The 26,109-nt window shown below is 39.7% G+C and overlaps 3 protein-coding genes and 1 pseudogene across 14 annotated transcripts in view; 2 read left to right on the top strand and 2 right to left on the bottom strand.

Annotated features, from left to right (window-relative positions):
* The window catches only part of LYPLA1-TCEA1 (LYPLA1-TCEA1 readthrough), a 135,392-nt gene extending 120,972 nt beyond the window's left edge, over positions 1-14,420 (top strand). For all 4 annotated transcript variants that reach the window (NM_001425841.1, NM_001425839.1, NM_001425842.1 and 1 more), the window contains 3 exons: positions 1,805-1,951; positions 10,513-10,584; positions 12,864-14,420. In NM_001425841.1, the coding sequence (NP_001412770.1) occupies positions 1,805-1,951; positions 10,513-10,584; positions 12,864-12,872 (228 nt within the window). In that variant the 3' untranslated portion in view covers positions 12,873-14,420. The remainder of the gene's footprint in view (positions 1-1,804; positions 1,952-10,512; positions 10,585-12,863) is intronic.
* The window catches only part of TCEA1 (transcription elongation factor A1), a 55,893-nt gene extending 41,473 nt beyond the window's left edge, over positions 1-14,420 (top strand). For 3 of the 4 annotated variants that reach the window (NR_109902.2, NM_201437.3, NM_006756.4), the window contains 3 exons: positions 1,805-1,951; positions 10,513-10,584; positions 12,864-14,420. Coding sequence is in view for 2 of the 4 variants with exons in the window: in NM_201437.3 (NP_958845.1) it covers positions 1,805-1,951; positions 10,513-10,584; positions 12,864-12,872 (228 nt within the window). In the remaining 2 variants the exon portion in view is untranslated. Of the gene's footprint in view, positions 1-1,804; positions 1,952-2,278; positions 2,454-10,512; positions 10,585-12,863 lie in introns of all 4 variants that reach the window. The other variant, NR_109901.2, reaches the window with a different exon arrangement.
* On the bottom strand, positions 7,084-9,378 carry LOC100131254 (ESF1, nucleolar pre-rRNA processing protein, homolog (S. cerevisiae) pseudogene; annotated as a pseudogene).
* Positions 14,421-21,672: 7,252 nt separating the features above from the next.
* RGS20 (regulator of G protein signaling 20) overlaps positions 21,673-26,109 on the bottom strand; it is a 107,509-nt gene continuing 103,072 nt past the window's right edge. For all 6 annotated transcript variants that reach the window (NR_104579.2, NM_170587.4, NM_001286673.2 and 3 more), the window contains one exon: positions 21,673-22,706. Coding sequence is in view for 5 of the 6 variants with exons in the window: in NM_170587.4 (NP_733466.1) it covers positions 22,518-22,706 (189 nt within the window). In the remaining variant the exon portion in view is untranslated. The remainder of the gene's footprint in view (positions 22,707-26,109) is intronic.

Below are 26,109 nucleotides of genomic sequence, written 5' to 3'. Positions count from 1 at the left end.
TATCGGCAATAAGGCTATTTTGATCATTATTCATGTGTTCACTGGAGTAGCACTTTTAATTTCCATCAAGAAATTTTCCTTTGCATTCACAATTTGGCTAACTGGTGTAAGAGACCTAGCTTTTGGCTTATCCCAGCTTTCCATATGCCTTCCTCACTAAACTTAGTCTTATTTCTAGGTTTTGATTTAAAGTGAGACATGTTGACTCTTCCTTGTCCTTGAATACTTAGAGGCCATTGTAGGGTTATTAATTGGCCTGATTTCAATATTGTTGTGTCTCAGGGAGTAGGGAGGCCCAAGGAGAGGAAGAGAGACGGGGAAAGAGTGGAGCAGTCGGAACACACACAGCATTTGTCAAGCTTACTGTCCTATGTGGTCAAAGTTAGTGGTGCCCCTAAAACAGTGATAGTAACATAAGAAATTACTGATCACAGATTACCTAACAGATATAATAATAGTGAAAATGCTTGGAATATTGTGAGAATTACCAAGATGTGACACAGAGACATGAAATGAGCACATGCTTTTGGAAAAATAGCGCCAATAGATTTGCTCAACACAGCATTGCTGCAGACCTTCAATTTGTAAAAAATGCAGTAACTGCAAAGTGCAATAAAATGAAGCACAATAGCGCAGAGCAAGATAAAGCAAAGTATGACTGTAGCTGGTAAAAACTGGCGTGAGAAGATGACCCTGGCATATTCTATACATTTCTTGCCTCAAAACTGGAATCAGGCATTCCTCCAGAGATCCCTGACTTCTTTTGGGAGTGGGGTGTAGGCAATGCTATTAGAAACTATAATCTGGATACTAGAGGTACTCGTTGTAAGTTTACATTGTTCATAGTGTAATCACCTGACAGCTTCTTCCCGCCCACTACACAGACAAAACCAATTCACTGAGACTGCGCTATTGCGGTTAAGAAAGAGTTTTATTAATGCAAGGCTGGCCATGCAGGAGACGAAGTTATTACTCACATTAGTCTCCCTGAAGACTTGGAGGTTAGGGTTTTACAAGAATAGTTTGGTGGTAACTATTCCTAGGTGACTAGGGAATGGGTGCTGCTGATTGATTGGGGATGCAATCATAGGGATGTGGGAACTGGTCCTTCTGTACCTCTGGGTGAGGGGCCTGAGTTCTGGAGGGGTCAGTCTGAAAAACATCTCAAAAAACCAATCTCAGGTTCTACAATAATAATGTTACCTATAGGAGCAATTGGGGAAGTCACACACTTTGTGTCCTCTGGCCACATGACTCCTGAGCAGTGAGGGATTATAGAAACTATGTCTACATTTTAGCAGAGTTCAGGCCTGTCCCATAATCCTAATCCTCTGGCATTTCATTAGTCTTAACAAAGGTGATCTCAGGCTCTGAACAAGGAGGGATCGATTTTAGGGAAGGACTGTTACCATCTTTGCATCAAAGTTAAACTAAATTCCTTCCATGGTTAACTTGGCCTGTGCCCAGGAAAGAGGGAAGACAGCCAGCCTGTGACACTAGAAGCAAGATGGAGTCAGCCATGTTCAATTTCTCTCACTGTCATAATCTTTGCAAAGGTGGTTTTAGTAGCCTTTAAACAGTACTTAAATCCAATTTTCACATGTAAACTTTTAAGTATTTGAAGAAATTTTTAAAAGGAATTAAACTCTTACAAAGCCTTTGAGGAAAAATATTAATTTAATGCTTTTAAAACCTTAAAGGTTGATATGTGGTTTTATTATTATTAGGCTAATTGAGCATAAAAGCATTCAGGATATATATAGAAGGTGTCTATAACTGAGTGGTATTGCCCCCTACCTCATAGGAAATGGCTAGTGATGAGCTGAAAGAGATGCGGAAAAACTTGACCAAAGAAGCCATCAGAGAGCATCAGATGGCCAAGACTGGTGGGACCCAGACTGACTTGTTCACATGTGGCAAATGTAAAAAGAAGAATTGCACTTACACACAGGTTTGTGATTGTTTATAGATTCTTATTTTTATATAAAAATGCTTGCAACTCCTGTTTTAAAATAAATAGCAAAGATAATTACCAGTATGATAGTCCCTCACTTATCCATGGAGGGATATGTTCTAAGACCCTGAGTGGATGCCTGAAACCACGGATAGTACCTAACCCTATGTATACCACGTTTTTTCCGATACATATGTACTGATAAGTTTTATTTATAAATTAGGCATAGGAAGAGATTAACAATAATAACTTAATCAAATAGAATAATTATAACAAGATACTGTTATGAAAGTAATATGAGTGTAGTCTTTCTGTCTCTCACAGTGTCTTGCACTGTACTCACCCCTGTTCATTTGATGAGATGAGGCGAAGTGAATGATGTAGGCATTGTGACTAAGTGTTAGGCTGCTGTTGACCTTCTGATGATCCATCAGAAGGAGGCTCATCTGCTTCAGGTGGTCCTGCCTCATCGAGCCCTGATGATGTGGATGACTAATGGGTAGGTAGCATTACAGTGACACACACTGGACAAAGGGATGATCTGTATTCCAAGTGAGACAGAGTAGGATGGTACAGGCTGTCTTCATGCTACTCAGAACAATGTACAGTTTAAAACTGATGAATTGTTTATTTCTGGAATTTTTCATTTAATATTTTCAGACCATAGATAACTGAAACCATGGAAAGCAAAACCATGGATAACTGGGGACTAGTTCAAGAGGAGATAAGATTTCTTTCTTAAGTGTAAGAATGATTTTTTTTAAAAAAAATTATTATTATTTTTTTGCGGAGATGGGGTCTTGCTGCATTGTCCAGGCTGATCCCAAATTTCCAGACTCGAATGATCCTCTCACCTTGGCCTCCCGAAGTACTGGGAATACAGGCATGAGCCTCTGTGCCTTGTCAGAATGCTTTCTTAATACTGATTCTAGTTAACTAAAACCAAGTTGATATATTTATACTTTCACAGAAATAGTTACTATGAAAGCTATGTCAAAATTTATAAAATATAAGAATTAATAAAATGACCATGTTCTTTTTTAAAAGTTCATAAGCAATTGTATTGGTTACTAGGTAAATTGGCCATAATCCTTTTTATTTTGCAGGACTATATAATTTAAGGAAAGTTCTTCACGCTCCTCCACATGGCTTATGAGTACTTTAGGCTTAACTGTCTTCTGGATAATTTGTTCCTTTTTGTAATATTGATAACTTACATTTATGTACGATATGACTAGCCTTTTTATTCTTTAACAGCTGAAAACCGTGTTATAGTTATTTTGGTTGCATGTGCATATGTGAAAATTTTTTTTATCACTGTCTTAATTTCATTTGCCAAATAGGTTTTTGTGCTATGTTATCTGCTGTAAACTCAAGATTGTCTCCTTAAGGGACAACTTACTATGTTTCAGATAGTAGATTTGGGGAATTGATTTTTTCACCGATAGAACATTAAGCACTTAAAAAATAGCATCACTAAACTCTAAAGGGGCCTTTACTTAAAACAAATTTTGTTGGTAGTTATTTTTGTGGTTAAAAATTGAAAAAGTACAAAAGTTTATGAGTAGGAAATTCCATTCCCACTTTTGCCTGTGGCCACCTCGTTCTCCCTCCCTGAAAGTAAAGCAAGGTTACTAGTTTGTTGTGAAACTTAGGTATTTTATGTGTATACATGCAAATATTTTTGTTTTCCTTTTTCTTTGAGACAGAGTCTCACTCTATTGCCCAGGCTGGAGTGCAGTGGCGCCATCTCAGCTCACTGCAAACTCCGCCTCCCGGGTTCACGCCGTTCTCCTGCCTCAGCCTCCCGAGTAGCTGGGACTACAGGCACCCACCACAACGCCTGGCTAATTTTTTTGTATTTTTAGTAGAGACGGGGTTTCACTGTGTTAGCCAGGGTGGTCTCGATCTCCTGACCTCGTGATCTGCCTGTCTCAGCCTCCCAAAGTGCTGGGATTACAGGCGTGAGCCACCACGCCCAGCCTTTGTTTTCCTTTTTCTAAACACATATGGAAAATGTTATATGAGCTTCTGCCTCTTTTCTACTGTTTACAGACATGTAATCTCTATTTTCAGATATACTTAATTTAACTAGTCTGAAGTCCTTTACCTGTTTGAAGCCTCATTAAGTCACAGTTGTGTATTTCCATGTTTCATTTTGTAGCAGTTTTACTACTGATTGTTACTAAAATGCATCAACACTGATAAAAGTGGTCTCAGAAAATTCTGAGTTTGAATTGCTCTATTTTCTTTTAATCAGGTAGAAATATCTTAACAATAAAAATTGCACCCTAAAAAATGCCATCTATTAGAAAGTATTAAGTATAAATAGTTATTTAAAAGTTAAAACTTCTTTAAAAAGTAAAAGTGATATACTTACATAATCAAATTATAAATAGCTAAGACAAAAAACATAAATACCAAGTTTGTTTCTTTTAGCAAAAGGAACCCAGCCTAAAGTTGGAGCCAGTATGATTTTCTTAGAATCACAAAGTGTTCGCTTCAGATAGAAAACTCTCAAAGTTCTCATGGAAATAACAGATGTAAAAGAAATAAGTGTAACTCTTGATTACTACGTACCCAAGAGGAGATTAAAATTTTTCCCAGAGAGCAAAAGATTCATGTCCACTTTTGGGGCCCTGGATATCAGAATTAAGTATATATAAAGTATAGCAGGAGTTTTCAAACCATTTTCATCTGAAGGCCTTAAGTGAGTAGAACGCTGCTGTTCTGAGGATGGTGCTGCTTTGTCTTCCTTTGGGCCTTTGAGTTGGAAGGCATGTTAATAGTTTACCGGTGTCATGAACCTTTGATCTTTGAAGTGGTGATAAACTGGTATTTTATCATCTCTTACGGAATTTCAGTATACCTTATTCTAACTGCAACATTATTAGTATTTAGGTTCTTGCCACAACTTAAGAATAACATTTAACTTTAATAATGCTTTGTCATCTTCATTCAGAGAAATAACCTTTCTGTTTTTGAGACCTTTGATTCTGGTAATTCTCTTCAGTTTAGAACTTCAGAAATTTATAATCTTGTATAGATTAAGTTTTTAAAAATCATATTAGCTTTTTTTCTTGCTGAGTTCTCTTTTTAAGTTTTAAAAAAAGTAGTTGTGGTAGAATTTATATGTAACCTAAAATTTCCCAACTTAACCAGTTATTTTTAAGTGTACTGTTCAGTAGTAGAGCATTCACAGTGCTGTACATCCAGTCTCCGGAACACTTTTCCTCTTGCAAAAGTGAAACTCTTTACCCATTAAACAGTAACTCCCCATTCCCCTCTCCCCAGCCCAACAACCACCATTCTGCTCTCTGACTCTCAGAATTTGACTATACCAAGTACTTCATATAAGTAGAATCATAGAATGTTTGTCTTATTGTGACTGGCCTATTTCACTTAGCATAATATCTGCAAGGTTTATCTGTGTTGTGATATATGTCAGACTTTCCCTACTTTTTACGGCTGGATAATATTCCATTGTATGTTCATACCACATTTTGTATATTCATCTGTTGATGGACACTTGGGTTCCTTCTACTTTTTAGCTATTGTGAATAATGCTACTGTGAACTTAAGTGTACAGATACCTCTTTGAGACTCTACTTCCTTTCTTTTGGTTATGTACCCAACAGTGGAATTGCAGTAGTAATGGCTTATAGAAAAATTAGGAAAATACAGAAAAATATGAGTAATAAATTTAAGTCATCCATTAAGCTGCCTTCCAAAGAGAACAATTACCAGTATTTTGTTGTTTGCAATATTTAGTGAATTTTTTTCTGTGTATAGTTGGAATTAAGTACTGTAAAAACTATTTTATGCTCTTCTTTTAACTTAGCTACCATAATGTAAGCATTTCCCTCTCTTTTAAAATTTTTCCAGAGAATAGTTTGAGATGTATAAAATAAATCAGTGCTATACAAAAATAATAAAAATATTTTGCTCTTTTATTTACAAATTAATTTCATAAACAAACTTAACATGATAAACAACAAAAAGTTCTTCCATCTTTTATGGCTAGAAAAATAAATTATTTTAATAGCTATTTAAATCTGCCTCCTGCTCCCAGAGAAATTAATGTATTATATATATATATATTTCAAATTATCCCTAACCTTTAAACAAACAAGCGTAGATACTGCTCTATTTTTACATAGAATTGTAAACAGCCTTTTAAAAAGCTGGAGTAGGCTGGGTGCGGTGGCTCACATCTGGAATCCCAACACTTTGGGAGGCTGAGGCAGGCGGATCACCTGAGGTCAGGAGCTTGAGAACAGCCTGGCCAACATGGTGAAACCCCCATCTCTACTAAAAATACAAAAAATTAGGCAGGCGTGTTGGCGCTTGCCTGTAATCCTAGCTACTTAGGAGGCTGAGGCAGGAGAATTGCTTGAACCCAGGAAGTGGAGGTTGCAGTGAGCTGAGATCATGCCATTGCACTCCAGCCTGGGTGACAAGAATGAAACTCCGTCCCCCCCCCACCCCCACCCCCACTACCCCCCAAAAAAACCAGAAAGCTAGAGTAACTTTCCACTAGTTGGAATTGAACTTCATAAAATATAAACATTTTATAAACCCTACAATTCAGGTAATTTGATTTAATTATGACTAATCTATAGGAATATACAATACAAATTTGTCAGTCATCCACAATTAAGAACAACTATTTATGAAGAAAAATTTTACTATGTTTAGAATGAGATTTTATTCATATTCTTGAAAGGTAGCTTTGTTCCCAATAAATATTTCTCCTACTATTTCTGTATATTTTAGGGGATGTTTTCAATTCAAAAAGAAATAACATCCAGTTATTTGACTTTTTTTTTCTTGCTTGAAACTGCTCTGTTTTGGTTTTTACAGATTTAATAAACATTGACAAGGCAGGATCAGTGGACTTCACCGAAACCCCCACCTCCCTGGTTCAAATGATTCTCCTGCCTCAGCCTCCCGAGTAGCTGGGATTACAGGTGCCAGCCACCATGCCTGGCTAATTTTCTTGTATTTTTAGTAGAGACAGGGTTTCACCATGTTGGCCAGGCTGGTCTCGAACTCCTGACCTCAGGTGATCCACCCATCTTGGCCTCCCAAAGTGCTGGGATTATAGGCGTGAGCCACTGTGCCTGGCCCTCTTTTTTCTTTATTGCCTGAGTAAGTTCTTGTTTTTTCTGTTCTCTTTGCCAGGCTTTCTCCTCAAGGGTTTTTTCCACAGCTTTTGTTTTCTTGAAATTGGGATCTGAGGGATGCACATTGAACAAGTGGGAAGTGTACATTGCTTGAAACCATGCATTGCTAACATTTACCTCAAAGTCATCCTCTAATAATTTCTTTTTTTTCATGAGCTGCTTTTTCTTCTTTTTCTTCTTTTTGCTCAGGTTCTGGTGCTCCACAATCTTGTTGTAATTGAAGTGTTTCTTACTTTCCTCCTCCTCATCCAGTAAGGAAAGCCATTTCAGCCTTTCATCTTTCTATTTTGGTTTCTTCTTCTGGAGATGTGCCATCTTTTGCAGATTTTGTTCACTTTTTTCTTTATACCTATTTTTTTAAACTTCTTTAGCAAAGTACTGGTCATTCATATCAACATCAGAGGGAAGTTAATTTTCACTGGCCTCTTTAGCAAGAGTCTTCTTTTTCTTTTTGTCTTTTTTTCTTTCTTCTTTAAAAATTGTTCCCAAGGGGTCAGTTTATCCTTTCCTTTCAATTTGTTCTTGACCATCTCTTTGCACTTTCTTTAAGACCTGGAACCCACTTCGTTTCCATTTCCATATCATTTTCTTTGTCTTTCTTTTCTTTTTCTTGAATAACCTGCAAAAGTTGCCTATATTTAGTGATTTGTTCTTCATCGTCCTTCTGACTTTTGTTTTCCCATCTTCTTCTACATTGACTTCATCATCACCTTGTAGCTCCTCTTCTATCTCCTCTTCATTTTCGCTAGAGGAAGCTAAGTAGTCTTGAAAATCCATGTCCAAAAGCTCTTCCTTTTAAGCTTCCTGTTGAGTGTTGTAATTCTTTCATGTTCAGTCTCATCCCAAGTGATTTCCACCATTGATGTTCCCATTGCAGCAGATATGATATATATTTAGTTTATATGCTGTTAAATACACCTCTGAGGCTACGTCCTTCGGCTCATCATCAAAAGTAGTATCATCTGGTATAAACCTTAGATCTGTGAAAGAACAACTACTTTCAAATTCCAGGCCACCACAATCCTCATAAATTTTACTGGCTGTTTCAGGAGAATCACAGTCTACTACTGCATAATAGTACTTCAGTCATTTGAGTTGATAACCTCTCAGTTTTTCTCTAGAGGTCCAGTCCTTTTTTGGGGCATCTTCAGGAACACTTAATAGCTCTACTGATCCTCAAACTTGCTCTTCCTTCACCCTCTCCTTTCCAAACTCTGAAGAATATATTTTTACAGGAAATATAACACCTCCTTTAGGTTTAAATCAGTTGAACAGAGTCAGCAAATCTTTTGCCTTTAATCTATCCCAGTCCATGTTGCAAACTGCTAATTAATGTGTAATGTCATCAGCACGAGGAGCAGGTTTATCTGATTCTCTCCATGCATGCCCAAAACTTGATTCTTCTGGAAACAAATCTGCCATATCATCTTCATTTTCAGAACTAGTTTCTATATTTCCTTTACCCCTTGCAAGATTAGGGCTGCTGTCACTTGCATCATCATCCTCACCATTCTCTTCATCCTCCTCTTCATTTTCATCATCACTTCCATTGTCATCATCACCTGAAGCTCTACCAATACTTGTAATTTCATTTTTAGATTCCTCATCACTTCCTGTTTTACTAACACTTTCTAAATCTTCCTTTAGAGCATCTTTGTCAAACATTTTACTGTCTGTTGAGTTTTCATAACCATCACTGCCACTTGCCGTTATGGATGGAACCACTGGTTGCATTTCTCTTCTTGTCTTAGAACACTTGATCTTGGGAGATTTCACATCAGAGGTGCCCGAGTCTAATGTCCTTCATCTTTCTTTGAGAGAAGAGTTGATAGTATGTTGAATAATGTTTTTTTTCTCTTTTGTACTTTTTTGTGTAAATTTTTTGCTCTCCTTCTTTGGACTTATGTTGGGAGCTATCTTAGATTTACATGGTTTTCATTTTTTTAATTCTCTCAGAATTATCTATATCAGTTTTATTTTCAGAATCCTTTTGATTAGCTTTCTTGGTTTCTTTCTTTTTCTCAACTAGATTTTTTTGAATATTTCTTTTTTAGTCTGGAGTTTTTTCTTCTGTATTTTCTTTTGATTCATTGCTTTGCTATCTTTATCAGAAAGATCAGAATCAGAATCTGAAAGGTCATAAAAACGTTTCAAGTACTCTGCAGTGCTATGGTTAATGTGGTACCCTCTTATCCACAGCATAGTTCAACTTGAACTTTTTTTTTTGAGATGGAATCTTGCTCTGTTGCTGGGCTGGAGTGCAGTGGCGTGACCTCGGCTCACTGCAGCCTCCGCCTCAGGGGTTCAAGTTATTCTTCTGCCTCAGCCTCCCCAGTAGCTGGGATTACAGGTGCCCACCACCACACCTGGCTAATTTTTGTAGTTTTAGTAAAGACGAGGTTTCACCGTGTTGGTCAGGCTGGTCTCGAACTCCTGACCTCAAGTGATCCACCTGCCTCAGCCTCCCGAAGTGCTGGGATTACAGGCGTGAGCTACCATGCCCGGCCAATTTTGACTTTTTGATTCTTTTCTGGCATTTCCCAAAATCTCAGGTTCTTTGCAATGTGCCTAAACTGTTGGTCACTGATTATTTCTTGTTTGTTGCCATTTTTAACTTTTGATCTTGCTGAACATTAAATGCTTGAAGAAACCAAACACATCTGGAGTTCTCTCCCTTTTCTTTAAAAAAACCCAAAAACCTTTGTAAGCATCTTACTGGCTGTGTAATATTTCATCAGATGGATATACTTTTACTTTATGTCATTACTTCCCTGTTGGATATTTGTTTTTAGTGTTGTGCTGTTATAAAATTATACTCTTTAAACATCCTTTGTATTTTTGTGTTTTTAATTGCCATCTTAGAAATAGATTAGATATCAAGTTTCTAGGTTACAGACAATGCTGCCTAACTTTTAGAAAGGTTGTTGGAGTTATATTTGTCAGACTGAGATATTCTCAATTTTTACATCTTCTTAATTTGTAAGAGAATATTGACATATGTTTAAATTTATTCATTTCTGTGCTTCTTACTGATGAAATTGTTTTTGAGATCCTTATTCGAAATAACTTACTGATGAATTTTTAAAATATTTATTAGCTATTTATAAAAAATATAAGGTGTGACTTTAGAGGATTTTCCCACTTATCTGGGATATATTAAACAGGAAAGACAAAGAAGGACTTAGGAAAATGAAGTTTGGAAGTGCGTGCTCTGTTGACATTATTTAGCTTATTTGAACTTGTTTCAGACTTCTATTCATTTTATTGTGGTACCATTATATTTATTAAATATATATCTTTATGTATAACATTATTTGGGTTGGGTTTTTTAATAGTACTGCAAAAAGTACATTTAATTTAATTTTGCTGCAGGTACAAACCCGTAGTGCTGATGAACCAATGACAACATTTGTTGTCTGTAATGAATGTGGAAATCGATGGAAGGTATGGACTCTCTTGGATTCATATTATATACTCACTTAAAATAGAAAGATTTCTTCTGGTCTTTTCATAGGTCTGCCTAGATATCTAAATATATACAGATATGCTCACACTATACAGTACTCTTGTACTCCCTGACTACTTGTAATGGAATATACCATCTTGTTACCCTACTAGAAATAAAGAGTATTAACTTGACTTTACCACCTTTATTTGTTTTGGTGCAGGAAATGGGGAGTGAATCTTAACTGTTCAATTATTATATCACTGTCCTATTTATACTATATTCATTAAGTTGTTTTGACTCTTGTACTTCCAGAAAATCTATACATGTGTATTACTTGTTTTAATAGATTTTGATTTTGGAAAATTTTTTTTCCCTTGTTGAAATCAGACCCAATGATTTTAGTGTTTATTTTAGAAATTACAGATGAGCACTGCTGTCATTTGGTAGGCTTTTCACTAAGCCTTCATATTGCCTGTGTGCTCTTGAAATTAGTCCCACACAGGCAAGTTTATATTATTTAAATGATTCATTCTTGAGGGATTTTGTGAAACAAAAGCATAAAATTTAAATTTGGGAGCAGAAATACATATCAGTACTAAAAACATTTTAATCATTATTATAGATGAGGATGTTAAGGGTGTGAGTTTGGGAGGCTTACGTGGTAGGAGTTTAGTCTTTGGAATCATACAAACTGATTTTGAACTCCTTTGCCACTTCCCATTACTGAACTATATTGTTCTTATGTATTAAATGTAAATAGTACCTACATTTCGGATTGTGATGAAGAGTAGAGATAATATATTTAGTGTGCCTGATAATTGTTGGTGTTCTAAAAATGCTGGCTATTTTTATTAGTTTTTCTGAAGTTTGTACAAGATTCTTTTTTTTTTCATTTATACTTACATAGACTTTTCAGTTTAATGCTCATTTTGAATTATTCACTTAGCTTAAAGCACTTTCTGAAAATCAGAAATGAACTAGAAGCCATTTGGGCCAGAGTCCCAAACCATGTCGAAGATATCCATTTGGCTTCTTCAACTCCACTTTAAGGGGTTGGGGCCAGTACCTATTTTGTTTTATTTATTCATTAATTTTTTTGAGATAGATCCTCACTGTGTTGCCCAGGCTGGAGTGCAGTGGCGCTATCTCAGCTCACTGCAACCTTCGCCTCCCAGGTTCAAGCGATTCTCCTGCCTCAGCCTCCCAAGTAGCTGGGATTACAGGAATGTGCCACCATGCCCAGCTAATTTTTGTATTTTTAGTAGAGATGGCGTTTCACCATGTTGGCCAGGCTGCTCTTGAACTCCTGACCTCAGGTTATCTGCCTGCCTTGGCCTCCGAAAGTGCTGGGATTACAGGCGTGAGCCACCGTGGCCGGCCCAGTACCCTTATTACGTACAAAGATTTAGTTCTGAGCTGGAAAGATTACTGCTACTGAAAGTGTCTTCATGGTTTGAAACAGTATTTCCTACCCATCTCAGGTTGCAGAAGTTGTCATTGGTCTAGGAGAGGGACATTCACCTTCTTTTTCAATCGTGTTGAGAAAATTTGGCCTGTTCTCTTGGATTTGTTTTGCATGATGGATCTTTTTTGTTGTTGTTGTTGTTTGAGATGGAGTCTTGTTCTGTGGCCCCGGGTTCAAGAGATTCCCCTGTCTCAGCCTTCCGAGTACCTGGGACCACCATGCCTGGCTAATTTTTTGTATTTTAGTAGAGACGGGGTTTCACCACGTTGGCCAGGATGGTCTTGATCTCCTGACCTCATGATCTGCCCATCTCGGCCTCCCAAAGTGCTGAGATTACAGGTGTGAGCCACCGTGCCCAGCTGATGGATCATTTTTATTATGGTGATGAGGTGTACAGTGCAGTTTGCTTTGAATACATGCACTTTGTGACACAAGTTTTGACATAGTACTTAATTGAATTTAAGAAAGTTCAATTTTAGGATAGAAAGCTGATGCCTAGAGTGGCATATTTTAGAAGTTCAATTTTGGAATTGTTATTTTTTTTTTTTTAACCTTAAAAACATTATAAAGAGGTATTTAATAAAAATGCTGAAATTGTTTTATACAAGTTCTTTAGTTGTATGTTCCTAGTAGTTCTAAGTTGGGAAAGTCAGGCACTTAAGATAGGTGATTATTATGTGTGAAAAATACAGCATCTTTTTCAAAAATGCATCTTTTTTAAAAGCAATATCAGGTGTATGCTGTATTAAATGGGGAATGTACCTTATTGGTATTTAAAGGTCTTACAAAATATTTTTTCTTTTTTGACAGTTCTGTTGAGTTGGAAGAATTGGCAAAATATCTGGACCATTAAGAAAACGGATTTTGTAACTAGCTTTAAACTAGGCCAAGCAACTAGTTTTCCTGCAAATCAAATTTTTAAAGCAACTTGGGTTAGACTTTGTTTTTGACCTAACATCCCTTCCTTAAATGCCTTCTGTAGTTTCAGATCAGTAGGGAGACCATATAATAATTTTATGGTACCTGTTTCAAAACATATTTTTTCTGTTTTTATAAGTAAGTTGATATTAATTAAACTCTTGGCAATATTTCTTCTTTCTTAAAGGAAAATATACCTTAACTTTTTTTCTTTTACACTGTGAAACATACACAGTAGAAATTCTGTTACTCTCTGTTATTAATACATAAATGAAAATACATTTTTTTCCATATTGGCATGTAGCTACAAATATTAAAGGAGGAGAAAAGGTAATATAATTTTAGGTTTACCAAATATGGTGTGTATTCAAATAATACTTGACCAGCTTATCTAAAATGTACATAATTTTGAGGTAGCTTATGAATTTGATTTTAATTATTATGTTCACAAGCTTGGAATATTAGATATTATTTTGCATCTGTAACTAACCGTGATCATCATTTCTTGTAATTTCTTGTACATGTATATTACTTGTTCTTAATAGATTTTTGGAAACAAGACTTTATTGAGATCAGTTTGGTTTTCCTGTTAATTTACCTGTTTGACTTTATAATGTGTTTTAGTTTTGCAGAAGAACACTGTTGTAGTTTAGAAGGCTTTTCATAAATCCCCTCATAGGCAAAGATGAAAACTTCCCACTATTTTTTTCCCCTCTTAGGAAGACATACTGGAAAGAAAATGTTTAGCATCTTAGTGTAGTATAGCTATTGTAAACAGTTCATGACTAGATTTTGATTCGGAAATCTATACTGACCAAGGATTAATCTTAAGGATTGTATAATTCATTAAAGCTGTGGTCTTTCCATGTGGAGACTGATAGAAAATAATTTTGTCCCAAGTCTTATTTGCTGACTTTTTCTGTCATGAGTGAGATTGTTGAACAAACTGAATATATGGGCTATAGCAAGTAGCTTTACAGTACAGATCTTACAATTAAGTTTTGCTTTTGTTAAAGTGTGTACCATTTTTTCTGTTTGGAGTAAGACAAAAATTGTTTTGACATAGGTTCCCTAGGGTACACTTGCTCTAGCATACTTTAAAGGCCACTGTTGCAAAGTCTACATTTTATGCTGAATCTGCATTCTGTCAGGCACCCGTAGAAAGACCTCAGTACATGCTTTGCACTCTCCTTTGCTCCCTTTTTCCAATTTCTTATTGCATATCATTTTGTTGTAATACAGAAAGCAGCATTTTTAAATGTCCGTGTTAAGAATTGGCCCACTGGTACCAACTCACCTCTATTTTGTCAGTTCATAGTTGAAGATTTTGTTTTATTTCAAAAACAAAGTACATTTTTGAAATAATGTTTCAGAATAAAATAATCTCACTTTTAAGTGATCCATTTTAAAATTTGTAATTCAATAAAGTTTTTTTTGTTGTTAAACATATATCACATTTTGTCATTTTATTTAGACAATGAAGCTTGCTTTACCTTTTGTTTAACCACACACCTGCTGTCCCCTCAACTACTAAGGTATTTCTAAAGTACAGTTTTAATTAAGTGAAGCCTGGTCTTCAGTAAAAACTAGTATTCAGCAGCATTACAGAGCATGTTTTCTTTCTTATCTTTTCCTGGACCTCTGGCGATGGATGGAATGGCAGGTTCTGAGTAAATACGTGAGTGCATCCCATGTGTACACTTAATTTAATGTGAGAGACCAAATAGTGAGTCTTGCTATTGGAAAATACTAGACTTTATTTATTTATTTTTTTATTTTTTTGAGATGGAGTCTTGTTCTGTCACCCAGGCTGGAGTGCAATGGTGCAATCTCGGCTCACTGCAACCTATGCCTCCCAGGTTCAAGCGATTTTCCTGCCTCAGCCTCCCAAGTAGCTAGGATTACAGGCGCCCGCCACCATGCCCAGCTAATTTTTGTATTTTTTAGTAGAGATGGCATTTCACCATGTTGGTCAGGCTGGTCTCGAACTCCTGACCTCAGCTGATCCACCCACCTCGGCCTCCCAAAGTGCTGGGATTATAGGCATGAGCCACCGTGCCCGGCCCAATACTAGACATTTGTAAAGTAATCAGAAGTAAATATTAAGGGTAGTATTTTATGATATTTACTTTGAGGGCAAAGTAACTTTGTTAAATGAACATGCAAAGGAATTAGACAAATATACTAGCAGATAATGAAGAACCATCCTGGGGAAAGCAGAAAATGATAATCTTGGTTTTCTAGCTTACCTGGATGATGACGAGCATTGGTTTATAAATTTTGCTAAGCTGTGGCAAAAATTCAGAAATATTTATATTCACCCAATCACTTAAACCTATATGTAATCTTACAAATGGCAAATATTTTAAGTATTAAGAAGACAGCAAAAGAAATAACAGGCTGTGCTTTGAATTATTATAGCTACATAGTCGTTGTCCTTGTGGGTCAAATTGTAATTTGTGGATTTGAATTGACTTTATTTCTTTTTTCTTTATTTCTTTTTTTTTCTTTTTTTGGAGACAGGGTCTCACTCATTCACCCTGACTGGAGTGCAGTGGCACAATCTGCTCACTGCAACCTCCACCTCCTGGGCTCAAGTGATCTTCCCACCTCAGCTTCCCGAGTAGCTGGGATTATAGGTGCACGCCAGCACACCCAGCTATTTTTGTGCTTTTATTAGAGATGGGCCATGTTGCCCAGGCTGGTCTTGAACTCCTGGGCTAATGCAGTTTGCCTGCGTCAGCCTCCCAAAGTGCTGGGATTACAGACTTGAGCCACTGTGCCCAGCCATTTCTCAAAATAAAAACTACAGTTAGAGTTGTGATTTAGAGAGTTTCACTCAACAGTTGTTCCCAGGCTGGGCTTGGTGGCTCACACCTGTAATCCCAGCACTTTGGGAGGCTGAGGCAGGAGGATTGCTTCAGCCCAGGAGTTCGAGACCAACCTGGGGAACAAAGCAAGACCCTGTTTCTACAAAAAATAAAAAAACTAGCTAGGCATGGTGGTGCATACCTGTGGTCTCTGCTATTCAGGGGGCTGAGGCAGGAGGATCCTTTGAGCTCAGAAGATTGAGGCTGTAGTGAGCTGTGTTTGCACCACTGTACAACACCCTGGGCAACAGAATGAGACCCTATCTTAAGAAAACAAAAACAAAAAAACAAACCAGACCAGTGAGGTGGCTCATGCCTGTAATCCCAGCACTTTGGGAGGCCAAGGCAAGAGGATTGCTTGAGCTCAGGAGTTTGAAACCAGCCTGGGCAACAGAGCGAGACCCTGTCTCTATATAAAATTTTTAAAAAACAAAAAATTGTTTTCTATCTCCCCTTTATTTAGTTGTATTTAGTTGTAGAAAATTAATGATTCAAAAGGAATTGTATATCCCACTGGGAAACCCGATGGGGATAATCACTGAATTACTAGTGAAAGCCACATATGAGGCCAGGCACGGTGCCTCACTCCTGTAATCCCAACACTTTGGGAGGCCGAGGTAGGTGGATCACCTGAGGTCAGGAGTTTGAGACCAGCCTGACCAACATAGTGAAACCCTGTCTCTACTAAAAATACAAAATTAGCTGGGCATGGTGGCACATGCCTGTAATCCCAGCTACTTGGGAGGCTGAGGCAGGAGAATTGCTTGAACCTGGGAGGTGGAGGTTGCAGTGAGCCCAGATCGTGCCATTGCACTCCAGCCTGGGCAACAAGAGCAAAACTCTGTCTCAATAAAAAGAAAAAAAAAAGCCACATATGAAAAACAAAGGACCAATGTTAAGGATACTACTTCACAGGAAATAGGACAGAGTTACTGACAAATTCCTAGGAAGTAATGGAAGAATTATGTTGAACAATGTTTAAGTAAGTTGAAGTCAATAAAAAGTAATAGTGAAATTGAGTGGAAAAAACAGCTTATAATCATGGCTATATTCGATAATCAACAGCTATAACTTAGTAGAGGTGGAGTTAAGTTCTTGTGGGAAATGTGTTCACTGCTGTCTCTAGCATCCAGAAGAATGCCTGTCACATAGGTGCTCATGAAATAGTTTTTCTTGGATATGTCTTTATCAATGTGTTACATGATGTTCTTGGCTGTTCAAGAGCTAAGATATAAAGAAAGAAAGAATGTTCCATGGGTCGAGGACTTGCAGAGGTAGAGTGGATAATTAATGGTTGGTCATGTTTTAGACTCCAACTTTAAAATAAGGAATGTAAGGAGTTAGAGTGTTGGGAGATCCCTTTTGGTGCTTTATTTCTGCAAAGTGATGCAACAGTTTCAGTGTACTCTTGGTACTTGTTTATCCAGCTGGAGGATGGAAATTGAAAGCACAGGGAGCTGTCTCAGGTGACTTACCTTGTTCTGATTCCTCTCCCTGGATGCTATATAAAGATAGCTAATTTTTATTTTTCCCCTTAATGGCCATGATTCCAAAGAGACACATTTCATATGTGATATCCCATACAGTCTGGTTAAATTGGTCCAAGTGTTTTTATAATTGGGTGACTGAACTACTTTGAAGTAAACGTTATTTGTGTGATAATGCCAATGTGAAAGTATAGCAGGTATTAAAAAAGCAAAAACTGAGAGCACTGGAGTTTGGACTGTGATAGGTATAGCTTCTGTCTCAGCATTAGTGAACTCATGAATGAACTCAGCATTAGTTCCCAAATGCTTTCCTAATTTATTTAGGGGCAGCTTCGCCCCTTCTCCTCTCTACATGACTCCGGCAGGTCTCATTCACAGTGTCCCCCCTACCCCATGCCCGTCCTTGAGATTCCCATATGAACAGTGACAGCTAAGCCACCTTGAGCTGCGTTTGGGGCTCCCTGCAGCTTTTTGCCTACTACATGCAGAGATCCTTTGTGTATGATGAAGCTGAGGGGAGTTGAGATGGAGAGAGTCCTGATAATATCGGACATCTGGACCCAGCCATGTGGAAGCTGGAACTACTGTAGACTTCCTGCTTATGAGGAGAAATCATTTTCCTTTGTGCTTAAGCTAATTTGAAACAGGTTGCTCTCACAAGCAAGTGAAAAAAAATCTTAAATTATTTTGGGTGAATATTTGAGTTAAATAAAAGAGCTGATACAAAACATCAAAAGCTGTGAGAATACTGCTAAGATTTCCAGTTAACCTGCAGAAGCAAAAGAGACCTAGGGGAGCATTAAGGTTATGGGTTAATATCAGGCTGACTTATCTTAATGTTTTGCTGATCTGTCCATCTTTTTCAATTTTTTTATTGAGTAAGAACAGGTAACATGAGATCTACCCACTTAACAAATTTTTATATTTATAAGCACAATGTTGTACAGCAGATCTCTAGCACTTACCTTATATAAGTGAAACTTTATACCCATTGAACAGCAGCTCCCTACTTCCCCTCTCGCCAGCCCCTGGCAACCACCATTCTATGCTTCTATGAGTTTAACTATTTTATGCAGTATTTGTCTTTCTTTCACTTATCATAATGTCCTCACGATTTGTCCATTATCCTGATTCATCAATTCTGTCACATATGGCAGGAGTTCCTTACTTTTTTTTTTTTTTTTTTTGAGACAGAGTTTCGCTCTTATTGCCCAGGCTGGAGGGCAATGGCACGATCTCAGCTTACCACAACCTCTGCCTCCCGGGTTCAAGCAATGCTCCCGCCTCAGCCTCCCAAATAGCTGAGATTACAGGCGCACACCACCACACCCAGCTAATTTTTGTATTTTTAGTAGAGACGGGGTTTCACCATGTTGGTTAGGCTGGTCTCGAACTCCTGACCTCGTGATCTGCCCGCCTCAGCCTCCCAAAGTGCTGGGATTACAGGCATGAGCCATCATGCCCGGCAGGAGTTCCTTACTTTTATGGCTAATATTTCATTGTATAAACACACATATATATACATATCACTTTTTTTTGAGATGGGAGTCTCAATTTATAATGACTCAAATGATAAATATTGTGCAGAATATTCCTGCAACATTAAAAAATGGCCCCCAAACACAGGATGTAGGTATGACTTAAGAGGTCAGGTTTCTTGGAGGAGGCAAATCTTATAGAAATGATAGGAGTTCGCTGGGTAAAGAGTGGAACTTTAGAGGGAGCAGGTAAGGGAGAGCAGAAACCAAGTTTTCAGGAACAGTCATGAAGGTCTGAGTGGCATATGCACCTTTTCTACACATCTGTGTTCTAGAGACTAAAACAGAAACAGCTGGCTAGGGAGGCAGTAGCCTGACTGCAGAGGGCCTTGCTTATTATGCTGGGCCAAGAACTCAGTATTTGACTCCAGGCAATCAGGAACTACTGAAAGATGTTAAGGAGTGGAGGGATGGTGACAAGCAGAAATGTATGTGAGGATGACCACCTTGTAGGCATTTGAAAGATGGATTTGAATGGGCTGAGACTGGGAGCAGGAGACCAGGAAGCTCTTTTGTCAATGATGCAGATAAGAGATGATGGGGGTCGGAAGAAAGAAAGAGACAGGTAAGAAATATTTAGGAGGTAAAATTGGCAAGGCTGGGTGATTATGTGTGGGAAGAGAAAAGGAGGGAAGAGTCACAGTTAACACCAGATAAGAGCTTAGGTGATTGACTAGGTCACTGGGCTGCAGGCAGGGCCAGGCTTGGGGTATGGAGGCAGTGGGGTCATGAGTCACAACCAAGCAGTGGTGTGTTCCACCCTCCGTGGGATACACCGGTGGAGATGGCCAGCTGGGAGCTGATTCTCAAGTTCAGGAGAAAAGTCTTGATCCCAATTTGGTAGCCATCAGTAGATTGGTAGGTATTTTAAACAAGGGGATATGAGGACCAAGGGAGAACATACAGATTGGCAAGAAAAGGAAACCCAAGTCCATGCCTTAGGGGCCACCACATTTAACGGCCAGGTAATAACAGCAGCGACTAACGTGTAGTAAGTGCTTACTGTATTGTACATGGACTCGCTTTAATCCTCAGCAACACCAGGGATTAGCACCATTATTATCCTCAATTTCACTGATGAGGAAGCAGGCCCAGAAAGGCTGAGTTCCCACTGCCACATGGCCAGTAGAGGAGTCCGAGAGTCTGATTCCAGAACCCAAGCCCTTAGCTGCTGTGCTCTTCTGCCTGGGAAGGAAACGAAGAAGAGAGAGAATATGGAGAACTAGGAGAGCACCTCAGAAGCTGAGGGAAGTGCTGTTTCAAGGAAGGAGCCATCCATGATATCAGGAGCTGAGCAGCCCACTGAGAAGGCTGGGAAAACTGCGCTGTAGACTTGGCAGGGAGAGGCCTCCTTGGAGAAGTTGAGGGCACTGGAGCAGCTCAAGGTGAGAATGGGGAGATGAGGAAATGGAGACAGCAAGTGTGGGCTATTGTGAAAGGTCTGATGAGAAAGGGGGCAACAGGAGGCAGCTGTTACAGTGGAACGCGCGTTTGTTTTTAACCGGGAAATCGAGCATGCTTACGGTGCGGGAAAAAGCCAAGGTGAACTCAGTGATACAGGAGGGTGGGGAGAAACTGCTGGAACAAAGCTCTAAGTAAGAGTCTTTCATTTACCACTGTTCACCACCGCCCCTCGAGACACTCCCATGCATTTGCTGCCATATTTCCATATTCCCCAACTCTTCTTACTTTTATTGACAAGGTGAATCCTAAATCTCCTTTGGGGCTGTCAGTTCTGTCTATCCTTGCAATGATTTACCCTCAGCTATCTTTTCATGCATAATTCTCCAGGCAATCTTATTCCCCTATGTGCTGAAAAACCCCAAAATCAGTACGCCAGCCTAGACTCACCCACCCAGATCCCTCCATCCAACTGATTCCAACATGTCCTTTCATGTGTGTCTTCCCTCGTTCTCAGCATGTCGATTCCTTTGGGGTCACTCAGTTATGAATACCATCTCATCCAGTGCCCTCTCTGCCTCCAACACATCCATTCTTCTTGTTCTCTGGATTTTGACTTTGGTGCCATCTCCACCAGAATCTTTCCATAACCCTTCGTGACTCCCACAGCGCTGTTCTTCCCCTGCTGTGGTTCTTACTATATCAGAGTTGCCACTGACATGTCTGTCTGCCTTTACTGAATGTAAACTACTAGAGGGCAGGGTTTATGTCTTATTTGCAATCACATCCTTTTTTTTTTTTTTAGTAAGAAATGAGATTGGAAAACTTGGAAGCACATGTAAGGGATTGACACCTCAAAAAGGAGGAGAGCACATTGTTCTCTGGGACTGGACTGAGGGAGATGAGAATAGACGCTGATCTATATATATTTATAGGTTGCACGGGAAGTTGAGGGGACTTACGGACACAATTTGCATAGTAGAGTAGGAGGTAAAATGGTTTCCTGAGAATGAAGGAGAGGGGCTTGGGTTTGGGGCTTGAGTTGAGTCATGAAGATACAGGCAGGCTATGGAGGGGCCAGGGAGGGAGAAGGACCCAGAGGAGAACCATTCCCCTCGAGGGCAGGAGCACGGTGCCGCCTCCTGCAAAGTAGCGTCTTTCCCACTACTCAGAGCGTCCCAGATTTTGAGTGTGTTTCCTATTCTATGTAGAGATGGATTTCTTCAGGATGGTCTAGGTCTACCAACTGGTAGTTTTACCTGTGAGAAGTTATTCTTTTTATCTATGATAAAAATAGTGGGATCTAAGGACAGAATCCTAGTCTGGGAGCTAAAAGATAGGCTGCACGTATCCCTACTTTCTTAATCTTCTATTTCCCAAATACGTACATATGGAAAAATAAAGATTGAGATAAAATTCTTGTGCTTTATTTCTTTAAAGAATGAAAATGCCCATATTTCTTTCAGTAATAAAAATGGAAATATGCTTATTTGACAGTTTTGTTGTGAACATGACCAAGTTATGAATTTAAAAATTCATTCTTTAGGTTGGCAAATTCTGATAATAACAGTAACTCTTTTCAACAAAAGAATTTTCTAAGCACTGCTGCTGTTACCAGACACTTGAGACTGATCCACTTCAGAGCACAGTGCTTTCCATTAACCATGTAGACATCCACACGCACACATATGTCTCCATACATACATACATACATACTGTAAGATCAAGTAGAATGCTATTTTTACATGTAGTGGTCACATCTTTTATGAACTGTGAATTTGGGTCCTGCAATGGCACTGGTAAGTGACGTATTCAAACCGAGCTTGCTGGACAGAAGATGTCGTTGAGAAACACCTGAATGTCTTTTCTTTGAGGGGAGAGTAATCAGTTACCAAACTCATGCAAAATAAAAGTGGTTCCCTTTGCTCTGGTGGATGTACCTGCTCCGGGCAGCAGGGAGCCTTCTGTGTAGCCTTGGCCACTGACAACATGCTACTGTTATTGTAAATGCAAATACGCTATCTTTCTACAACAGCCATATCCCTTTATTTTTTTTTTTCAAAAGTATCACTAAAGGTGGCTGCAGTTTACATGGTGAATATATAGCAGTCTGTTGAAGGAATCATCTGTTATTAGAATAGCCTGAGTATTACTCCAGCAGAAGATGCTACAACCTCTAAATTCCCTGTGCTAGTTGTAGCCCATGAATTCTTTTATTATTTTATTAATAATAAATATATTTGAAAAATCCTATGCTTCAATAGATTTCTCCGATAAGGACTGAAGCAAGTCCTTATAGACAGCAGAGTTCATGAATCGAGGATATGAGTCTCTGTGCATCAGGGTGTAAATCTGAAGTTGAGCATCATCGAATATGTGTTGGGATGGCTCCACCATGTTTCTGTTGATCACTTCTCTCACCCGGGAGTCTAAGCTCACCTGTCGACAGAAACGAGTAGGAGCTGTATTAGAGACTTCAGTTGTATCTCTATCCCAAACTCCTAGAGCTTGTGGGGATTTTTGTTGTTGTTTTTGTTTTTTGTTTTTGGTTTTTTTGTTGTTTGTTTTGTTTTGAGACAGAGTCTTACTCTGTCACCCAGGCTGGAGTGCAGTGGCGCGATCTCAGCTCAGTGCAACCTCCGCCTCCTGGGTTCAAGCAATTCTCCTACCTCAGCCTCCCGAGTAGCTGGGATTACAGGCACCCACCACCACACCCGGCTAACTTTTTTAGTAGAGACGGGGTTTCTCCGTGTTGGTTGGTTTCGAACTCCTGACCTCAGGTTATCCGCCCGCCTCGGCCTCTCTAGCTGCTGGGATTACAGGCATGAGCCACTGTGCCCGGCCTTGTTGTTTTTTAAATATCCCAAACCAAACAAGATCATCCAAAAAATCCAAACTGCCAAAGAGAAACCAAAAGCATAATCAACGCAGTTCTCAAATGTCAGTGGCATCAGCAGGCTCCAGAGGGCTTGTGAGAGCGGTTCCTGGGCCCCACCCCAGACTCAGTAGGTGTAGGGGCCCCTGATGCTTGTTATTTCCCACAAGTTCTAAGTGATGCTGGCAGGGCTCACACTGCTGCTTTGAAGAAAACAGGCAGCACAGACTGCCCCTTGCTCATTTCCTTGTAACGTGGGGGCTGACACCTGGAGGCCCAGGCTTCCCCTGCTGGCCCACAGTGGCAGGGCTCTGGGGATGAGTGCTGGCCTGCCCGGAGGGTTGGGCACAGGGGTGAAGTGGAAGTTGACTCAAAACCCTGGAAGGTTCCAATCACAGGGCCTGAGGGCAGACAATGCCTGTGTTTAAATTCCAGCCCTGCCTGGGTATGGTGGCTCACGCCTGTAATCCCAGCGCTGTGGAGTTCGAAACCAGCCTGGCCAACATGGCAAAACCCCATCTCTACTAAAAATAAAAAATACTAGCTGGGCATGGTGGCAGGTGCCTGTAATCCCAGCTACTCGGGAGGCCGAGGCAGGAGAATCGCTTGAACCTGGGAAGCAGAGGTTGCAGTGAGCCGAGACCATGCCACTGCACTCCAGCCTGGGCAACAGAGCGAGACTCCATCTCAAAAACAAAACAAAACAAAATCCATCCCTGTCACTGTATAGCTGTGGGGCCTCAGGCAAGGTAAACTCTGTGTCCTAGTGAGCTCTTCCCCTGAAGTGGGGATGATGATGATGGTAATGTCTTAGGTTTTTTGTGATTTAATGACAAAGTGCTTGGATTTCACTAAGCCCATAGGAGATGTTGATTGCTCTGATGTTTGGCTCTTCCTAGACAAGGTGATCTGCCTGCTTCGGCCTCCCATAGTGCTGGGATTACAGGCGTGAGCCACTGTGCCCGGCCTGTTTTTGGTTGTATAATACTTTAAAAGATTGATGAAAAACCTTGCCTTAAAAAAAATCATGACAAAATAAAAATATGTGGAAGCCATAAATTAAAGGACAAAAATTATCTTGCTCCTTATTAATTCAAAATGAAAATAACTTTTTGGACTCAGTATTCAAACATGTCAACTGAATATTACCAATTTAACAACGCAAACTTAAGAAAGCAAAACGTAACGACGCAAAATTAAGTAAGCCAACGACCCCACCACCTGGTCTGCCTACACCAGACATATGGGAGTCATTTGAGACGGTGGGGTTTGCCTCAAATCCGACTCTTCCTCTCTAGCGTCTTCAGCTGGCCTAGCTAGGCCCTCACCATGTCCCTTTGGACTCCTGAATTAGTTTTCTAACGTCTTCTGCCCCTGGTCTTCTCCAAATTCACTCTGCAGCCCTACTGGTCTTTCAAAAATCAAAATTTGATGATATAAACAGGCTAAAATCCAAGGGCTTCCCAAGATAAAAATCCAGACACTTCGCCATGATGCCCAAACCTCTCCATGCTCTCCGACTACCCCTTCTCTAAGTCTCCTCCTGCTGCCTGCCCCCAGCCCTAATAGTTTGGTAAGCACCCTCCCTTTCTGGCACAATCTGTGTATACTTGCAGTGATCACACAACTTCATGCTCTTCCCCTGGGCTCGCCTGGTCCTGTCTCCTGGGATGTCCCCATCCTGCTGTGTTTGTGGAAATTTCCTTTTCACTATCCTTGGTCCATCTGTAGCCTCCTTGAGTATTTTTCTCATTCTCGCCCACCCCTTTGTGGATGGCTCACCCCCGAGCCCCAGTGAGTGCTGAGAGTGTGGCCAGGGGTCCTGGTCTGTCCGCCCACATCTCCAGGAGCTCCATGACAGGAGAGGCCCTGCTTCTTCAACTTGACATTCCTGTCGGCACATAGTAGGAAATAACTAATAGTTTTATAATTAGAGCTACAAGGCACCCAATTTGAGAACAATCTGACCTCCTAAATTTTATTTTATTATTATTATTTTTTTGAAATGGAGTTTTGCTCTTGTTGCCCAGGCTGGAGTGCAATGACGCAATCTCTACTCACTGCAACCTCCGCCTCCCGGGTTGAAGTGATTCTCCTGCCTCAGTCTCCTGAGTAGCTGGGATTACAGATGAATGCTACCACACCTGGCTAATTTTTTGTATTTTTAGTAGAGATGGGGTTTCACCATGTTGGCCAGGCTGGTCTCGAACTCCTGACCTCAGGTGATCCACCTGCCTCGGCCTGCCAAAATGCTGCGATTACAGAAGTTGGCCACTGTGCCAGGGCTGGCCTCCTACATTTTAGATTTGAAGAAACTGAAACACTGACAGGTGGAAACTTGCCCAATCTCATTCATCTGATAATTTCTTGAATGAAAAAGCCAGCCTGGGGAAAACCTTTTCAGCATCAGTATCACATCTGTGATGCTGCTGCTCTATAACATCAAGATACCTAAATACAAGATTTTTCTCAGAATAACAAGATAATTTTATTTAAAGGAACGTCTTAGGGTATAATATTTGTAAACAGTGTTCAGTGTCAAATGGAGACTCCAGGGGATACTTTTTCCAGAAAAATGCACAAAATTTTTCACAGATTTCAGAGGACACTTGGAGCCCTCTGCAAGTCCACAGTCAAAGTGATCTGAAAACCGTGAATGTGGGTGCAGCTGTTTGGTCATGTTCAGCTTGACCCAGAACATCAACTGCAAAATGTAGAAAACAGCTGCACCCGCATTCACGGTATTCAGATCCCTTTGACTGTGGACCTGCAGAGCGGCTCCAAATGTCCTCTGAAATTGGTGAAAAATTTTGTGCATTTTTCTGGAAAAAGTTAAAAGTAATGGCGAGGCCGGGCACGGTGGCTCACGCCTGTAATCCCAGCACTTTGGGAGGCTAAGGCAGGTGGATCACGAGGTCAAGAGATCAAGACCATCCTGGCCAACATGGTGAAACCCTGTCTCTACTA

This window comes from Homo sapiens, chromosome 8 (assembly GCF_000001405.40).
Source record: "Homo sapiens chromosome 8, GRCh38.p14 Primary Assembly".
Lineage (NCBI taxonomy): Eukaryota > Metazoa > Chordata > Mammalia > Primates > Hominidae > Homo > Homo sapiens.
The sequence above is the reverse complement of the archived record's forward strand: the minus strand, read 5'-3'. Positions and strand labels throughout refer to the sequence as shown.